This window comes from Homo sapiens, chromosome 8 (genome assembly GCF_000001405.40).
Source record: "Homo sapiens chromosome 8, GRCh38.p14 Primary Assembly".
Lineage (NCBI taxonomy): Eukaryota > Metazoa > Chordata > Mammalia > Primates > Hominidae > Homo > Homo sapiens.
The window spans coordinates 137276570-137283797 of record NC_000008.11 but is presented as its reverse complement, the minus strand read 5'-3'; the positions used below and the strand labels follow the sequence as shown (position 1 = coordinate 137283797).

General features: G+C 42.6%; 1 annotated feature.

The window, feature by feature from the left end:
* Positions 1528-2727: an enhancer, noted in NCBI's record as "CDK7 strongly-dependent group 2 enhancer chr8:138293314-138294513 (GRCh37/hg19 assembly coordinates)". NCBI's record gives its function as "activates an origin of replication core promoter dependent on BRD2, BRD4, P300/CBP, MED14 and CDK7 cofactors, with strong dependence on CDK7, by STARR-seq in HCT116 cells {active_cell/tissue: HCT116}" and the evidence as "EXISTENCE:reporter gene assay evidence [ECO:0000049][PMID:35650434]".

The window sequence follows — 7228 nt, the reverse complement described above, 5'->3', positions numbered from 1 at the left end:
CTCCACAGAAGGGGCACAGGCTGGTGGGCTTACCTGGGTTTGGGCATTGTTTGGACCAGTGGCCTTCATTGCTGCACTTGAAACAGGCACCAGGTGGAGGTGGATTGCTAGGAGGCTTCTTTGTGGAGCTGCGGCCTCAGGGACCTGCAGGGCCTCTAACGGTGGAGGCAAACATTTGAAACTCTGCCTGTTTTTGCCTTTTACTTCCTCATCACAATTGTTAAAGACTTTGAAGGCTAAATTAAGAAGGTCTCGTTGTGGGGTTTGAGGGCCGTCATCAAGCTTCTGAAGCTTGCACCAAATATCAGGGGTGGATTGGGAGATGAATCGAAGGTTTAAAACAGTGGTTCTTTCTGGGCTGACTGGGTCTGGGTTGGTGTACTTTCTCATGCCTTCAGTTACATGAGAGAGAAAAAGGGCTGGGTTTTCGTCAGGACCTTAGGTGATTTCTGAAAGTTTTTCATAGTTTACCACTTTATGGACAGCTTTTTTGAGTCCTGCAAGGAGACACACAATCCTGTGGTCTGGACGGTGGCGTCTAGAGGCCCCGTCTTGATAATCCTAGTGGGGGTCCTGGTTGGGGACTGCCTCTGTGCCAGTAGGCTGGGCAGGAGCTTGGTGATGAATTGTATCAGCATGCTCCTGAACTGGGGTCCAGATACGGTTTTGGTCTTCTGAGGTGAGGGTGGAAGAGAGGATAATGTAGAGGTCATGCCAGGTTAGTTCATAAGACTGGGTAAGGTACTGAAACTCCTCAATATAAGAGGTAGAGTTTTCTGGAAATGAACTGCGACTGTTGTTAATTTGAGAGAGATCAGTGAGGGAGAAGGGAACATGAACTCTATCAATACCTTCAGTTTCTGCTACTTCCTGAAGGGAGCACTCTAGCACCAGCACTGAAGTAAGAGTCAACGATGGTGCCTGAGCGAGTATAGGCGGTAGTGAAAGAAGAAGCTGGAAATGGTTCCTTCTGAGGGTTTGAAGGGGGAAGGGGGGTTGAGTTGATAGGTAATGGAGGATAGATAGGGGTGTAAGGTGGCATGATGGGTTTACAGGCTTCAGGAGAGGGTGGTGGGGGAGGAGAATGGGTACAGGCAATACTAGAATTGTCTTGAGGAGGGGACGGTGTAGGAAAAGGAGTGGGTACTTTTGGAAGTGATGCCGGCTGGGAAGATGGTGGGGAAGATGGCGGGGAAGATGGCAGCTGAGAAGATAACAAGGAAGATTGGGGAGTTAAAGAAGACAGTTGAGAGGGAGAGGTAGGGGCTGGGAGTGGTGGACAGCAGTCAGCTGAATTGAATGAGGAAAAAGAGTTAGGGTCGGAAGGAGAAAGGCAATCAGGGCGGTGAGAATGGAGGAGAAGGATTTGAACAGGTAAGCCAGAATTGCAGAGGTCGGGTTGTGATCTGAGTGCAAAACGGCCTGGACATAAGGAATTTCTGCCCATTTTTCCAGTAGTCGGCAATAATTGCTTAAGTCAGTTAAAACTGTAAAGTCGAATGTTCTATTTGCAGGCCATTTGGACCTGTTATCTAATTCAGACTGCAGTCAGGCTGTATTGCAAAAAAGATAAGGCGCTTAGGGTGGATATCTTGCCTGAGGCCTAAGGTTTACAGGCTTTTTTATGGGGCAGCCTAGAGGGCTGTTTTTTGGAATGGAGGACTGGGAGTTTCCGATAACCGAGGGTCAGCTTGGGAGAACAGGGAAAAAGGAGACCGTCCTGGACGGCTGGAGGGAGACGATAAAAGGAGCAATCGTCACCGCTGCTTTTCTCGTTCCCTGAATGGGATCAAATGGCTTAGAGGCGTCCCCCTAAGACCAGATGATCAGCGAGTTCCTGGCACACACCGGAGCCTTCTTGGACCAACTTTGGATTTTTGGACCGGAGAAACCAAGAGAGGCCGTGTGGATTTTCCCTTGTTAACCAGGCCCCGGGGAAACTTACCAGTAGGCGAGATCAGTGACCGATGTGCATGCACGGAGAGGTGACTGGAGGCTGAGGAGCTTCCTTTGTCTGGCAGCTGTGGCCTGCTCTCTGGGGTGGAGGGTTAGGTCCACAGGGTATGCAGACCTGAGCCACTCCCAGGTTTTGGTACCAGATGTAAGGTTCTTGTATTGGTTCAAACCCCAAAAGCATGCCAACAGACAACACGATGCGGTGTGGAGCAATATGCTGTTTTAATGAGTGCCTGGGTGCAGGCCGGCTGAGGCCTAAAATGGCGTCAGCCCTAAGTGAGGATGGGACAAAGGTTTGATAGTCTCCTGTAAACAGGAAGTGTCCTAGTCTGACTGCTACGTTGTACCTGGATGGCCTCTTTCTCGATCTTCAGGGGTACGTGTCTTCTGGCTGGCTCTCTTCCTGCTTCTGCTCTCTTGCTGACACACGCTGCTGGTGCCAAGTGGCTTTGTGTCTTGGGACTGGGCCTGCGAAGGAGGAGTTACTCATCTCCTTAAGCTTTCAGGCCCCGGGGAGAATCTGACACACACACACATATATGTATGTGTCTCTCTCTCTCTATATATATATACACATACATGTATATAAGCTCACAGTGTTAACCAATGCCTCATAATAAATCATATATGTAACATAATAAATCATATATAGGCTGATCTGCCTTCTGTAAGTTGGAGACCCAGGGAAGCCACTGGTATAGTTCTAACTCAAGCCCGAAGGCCTGAGAAGCAAGAAAGCCAATGATGTAAGTCCGAATTCTAGTCCAAGGGCCCAAGAACCAGGAGAAGATAGATCTTCCAACTCAAAGAGAGACAATAAATTTGCCCTTCCTTCACCTTTTTGTTATATTTGGTCCCTCAATTAATTAGATGATACTCTTCCATACTGGTGAATTTGATTTTCTTTACTCTGCCTGCTGATTTAAACACTAATGTCTTCTGGAAATGCCCTCACAGACACACTCAGAAATACTGTTTCACCAGCTATCTGGGCATTTCTTAGCCGAGTCAAGTTGATACATAAAATTGATGACCACAACACCTTTGTATCCATTAATGACTAATTCTATGGTTGCTAACCTCTGAAATTCATTTAATAAATACTTATAAATGAATGGATAAATAAATAGGTAAAGGAAACAATAACTTAGACATTCAAGAATCTTTTGTCTAACCATAATTTTTATATTTAGTCTTGAACATTTAGAATCCATCATTATGTATGACAACAATTTTTTTGCAATAAAGAAAAACTTTATTGAAAGTTACTGTGAACCCTGAATATTTGAGACTGTCTCAGTTAATTTAGAAAATTTACTTTGCCAAGGTTGAGGACACAGGCCCATGACACAGCCTCAGGAGGTCCTGAAGACATGTGCCCAAGGTGGTCAGAGCACAGTTTGGTTATACATTTTAGGAAGACGTGAGACATCAATCAATATATGTAAGATGTACATTGGTTCCATCCAGAAAGCGGGGCCAACTCAAGCAGGAAGGGGGCTTCTGGTCACAAGTAGGTGAGAGACAAACAGTTGCATTCTCTGGAGTTTCTGATTGGCTTTTCCAAAGGAGACAATCAGTCAGGCATTCATCTCAGTGAGCAGAGGGATGACTTTGAATAGACTGGGAGACAGGTTTGCCATAAGCAGTTCCCAGCTTGACTTTTCCCTTTAGCTTAGTGATTTGGGGTCCCCAAGATTTATTTTCCTTTCACATTACCATATGAAAATAAAGTGAATCCCCATTGGCATATTTTTTTTCACTCATGTATTCAACTATATTTAAGGGCCTACTAAGGGCTACTATTGATTGAGTCTGAAAAAATTCACAGGATCAAAGATCACACTTCTCTTGGAATAGAATAAATGGTTTCTTTATCCTTTGTATTACTTTAAATTAATATTTGGGAACTACTTCGGGAGATTGTCTATATTTTCCAAATTCTCTTGTTAAAAGACTGCTTTCAGAAAGAGAGGCAATTCCAAGGTAGGAAGCCAATGGCAGATATCCCGGAGTCCATTATCAAAGAAGCTTGACCAAATAATTAGTTGCAGTCCCTACCCTGGAAACTTCAGGCTAGTTGATTTCAGTCTTGTTAGTAACAACAGGGTCATGCATTTCCTGGTAATTAAACTTGTGGAAGCTCATTTGCTGTCAGTGTTATGGTCACTTTCCTGACATTTATTCGTTTTGTTTCTCCTGAGGTTATTTCTCTTGCCATGATTGCCACCACCTTTCACGACTATGTAGCTCTTCAAAAATTAAACATTGATAAATGTTTTAAGGACAAAGAGGAAAGCTGTTTAGAGCTGACATGAAATTTTCTCTTGTTTCTTTAAAGCTTGTTTGCCAGGGAATGAAAAGCTACAATTACTTTAACGTGATCATGGGTTTTCATACCAATGCTGAATGCACAATTACTCTTGGCTTCAGCGATGTGTTTGAAAAGGGAGACACAAAAAGGTAATCAACTTGCTGTCTTTGGCGGACAAAAGGAGAATGATTCAGGAAGGATCAGAGGGTAGAGGAAATGGCTGCAGAAAAATTCCCCTCCACAGAGCCCAAGCTGTAGTTTAACTATTTCAGACTTTCTTTCTAGTCCTTGTAATTTAAGAACTGTTCCATTTTCAAATGATTAATCAGATCAGTTTGTCTGAATATTAGATTTTCAACATCTTGGTCACAAATGTAATAGTATTTGATTGGGTTCTAATCATGCAATTAATTCCCGGGAGTAGATTCTGAAAAGCAATACTATACTAATTATGGCGGTTCCCTAGGAGTGAGAAGTAACCAGTGTTGTGATCTCAGGCATCATTTTAGCTTTGAGAAGGCTTAAGTCTCTTAATCTTTCTTTGAAACTTCAGAGATATTAAACTCTAAAAAACCCATTGGATTATTTGAGAAGAAAGAATATAATATAAAACACCATAACAAAACAACATAACATAATGCAAACAGATTGTGGAGAATCAGAGTGATATAAATGAAATGGGTTCTGCTTTGAAGCCAGGTCGGAGCAAGGCTTGAATGTACACTGCTGCTTACTAACTCTAGCTTTACACAGCCACTGAACTTCACTGAGCAAAAGGTCTCTCTTTAGTAAGTTAATTTTTTTAATGTTTTATTTTATTTTATTTTATTTATTTATTTTATTATTATTATTTTTTGAGATGGGGTCTCACTCTGCCACCCAGGCTGGAGTGCAGTGGCATGATCTCGGCTTACTGCAAACTCCACCTCCCAAGTTCAGGTGATTGTCATGCCTCAGCCTCCCAAGTTGCTGGGACTCCAGGTGTCTGCCACCATGCCCTGATAATTTTTGTATTTTTGGTAGAGATGGGGTTTCACTATGTTGACCAGGCTGGTCTTGAACTCCTGACCTCAGGCGTTCCGCCAGCCTTGGCCTCCCAAAATGCTGGGATTACAGGCATGAGCCACCATGCCTGTCCAATATTTTTTATTTTGAAGAGTTGTGAGCATTAGAAAAAAGAAAGTCAAATGTGTAGCATAGCATGTAGTAAATTGCAGTCAATAGTTAGTAGCTAGACAAATATATAATAATGATTAGACCAAAAGCACATTTTCAGCCATGTTCCTAGAATTTTAGAATAAGTTTTGCTGCATATTCAAATTGAGAAATTATGCAAAATGTTTTTGTTTCCACTGAATAGACAATAAGAAAAGAAATGGAAATACATGACCTCTGACACTCTAAACATTGTGCTTTCATTTTTCTCTACTCATTTGCTTATTGACATAGTTTGGATAATTATCCTTTCCGAATCTCATGTTGAAATGTGACCCCCAATGTTGGAGGAGCGGTCCTGGTCGGAGATGTTTGGGTCATGCGGGTGGATCTCTCATGAGTGGCTTGGTGTCTTCCCCATGATAATTACACGTGAGAGCTGGTTATTCAAAGGAACCTAGCACCTCTTGCTGTTGCTCTCACTGTGTGATACATCTTCTCCTCATTCACCTTCTGTCATAATTAGAATCTTGCTGAGGCATCATTAGAAGCAGATGTTGATGCCATGCTTCTCGTACAGTCTGTCGAACGATGAACCAAAATAAGCCTCTTTTCTTTATAAATTATCCATCCTCGGGTATTCTTTTATAGCAACAGAAAACAGACTAACACACTCATGTTGCTGCATTTGCCTAGAATGTTCCTCATCTCTTTCACTGTTTATCAAACTCCTATTCATTCCTTCAGGTCAGTACAAAAATGCATAGAAAATACGGGACTATGCATGAATGTCTGGCCATAGAATGAGAATGGGAATTGCTTGTATCTGGGACCTAGATCATAGATAAATTATCATAGGTGGTACCAAAGGGCCTTAGTGTTCCTCTCAGCTTGACTAAACTTTAGGTAGGTTTCTTCTTGATTCTAGGATCCTGACCCCCACCTTCTTAGAGCATTGGCTTTAGTAATCTTGTAATCATAAGGTCTTTTTCTGGCCCTTTGAGATGTAAATAAAATCACTAGCATGTATTACTACTTTTTACCATTAACATATGGATTGGTATGATCACATACACCTATTATTCTCCCAAAATTTATAGGTCTTGGGCATGTAAATAAGAAGCAAATCCATTATGCTAATAATTACCACAGTTCAAGAGAGATAGTTCTATAAATTTTTAGCAAAAGCTATAAATTTTAGCAAAAGTATTATTGCTTACATCTTAAAAATTATGAATTTTAGATAGCCTTCTTCCTGATTCTAGCACCCTGAGCTCCGTTTCTTAGAGCACTGGCTCTCAAAATCTTGTAACTTTTAAGTCTTTTTCTGGCCCCTTGAGATGTAAATCTTTTCAAAAGACTCTCACAAGTCTTACAACCCAGGAATAGAGTTCTCAAGAACCTGGGAGGCATACCCTTGAAATGTAATCATCACAGAAGATGGTGCCCCTCTATTCTGATCTCTGGGGGAGCATAGGAGCCTATCTTTGATGGGAGCCAATTAGCAAACAAGGATGGGCTAATCACAGAGAAAAACATTTACCAACTTAGGCCAGGTGCTGCGGCTCACGTCTGTAATCCCAGTACTTTGGGAGGCCAAGGCAGGCGGATCATTTGAGGTCAGGAGTTTGAGACCAGCCTGGCCAACATGGTGGAACCACACCTCCACTAAAAATACAAAAAGTTAGCTAGGTGTGGTGGCAGGCACCTGTAATCCCAGCTACTGGAGGAGGCCGAGGCAGGAGAATCACTTGAACCCAGGAGACGGAGGCTGCAGTGAACCAAGATCACGCCACTATATCT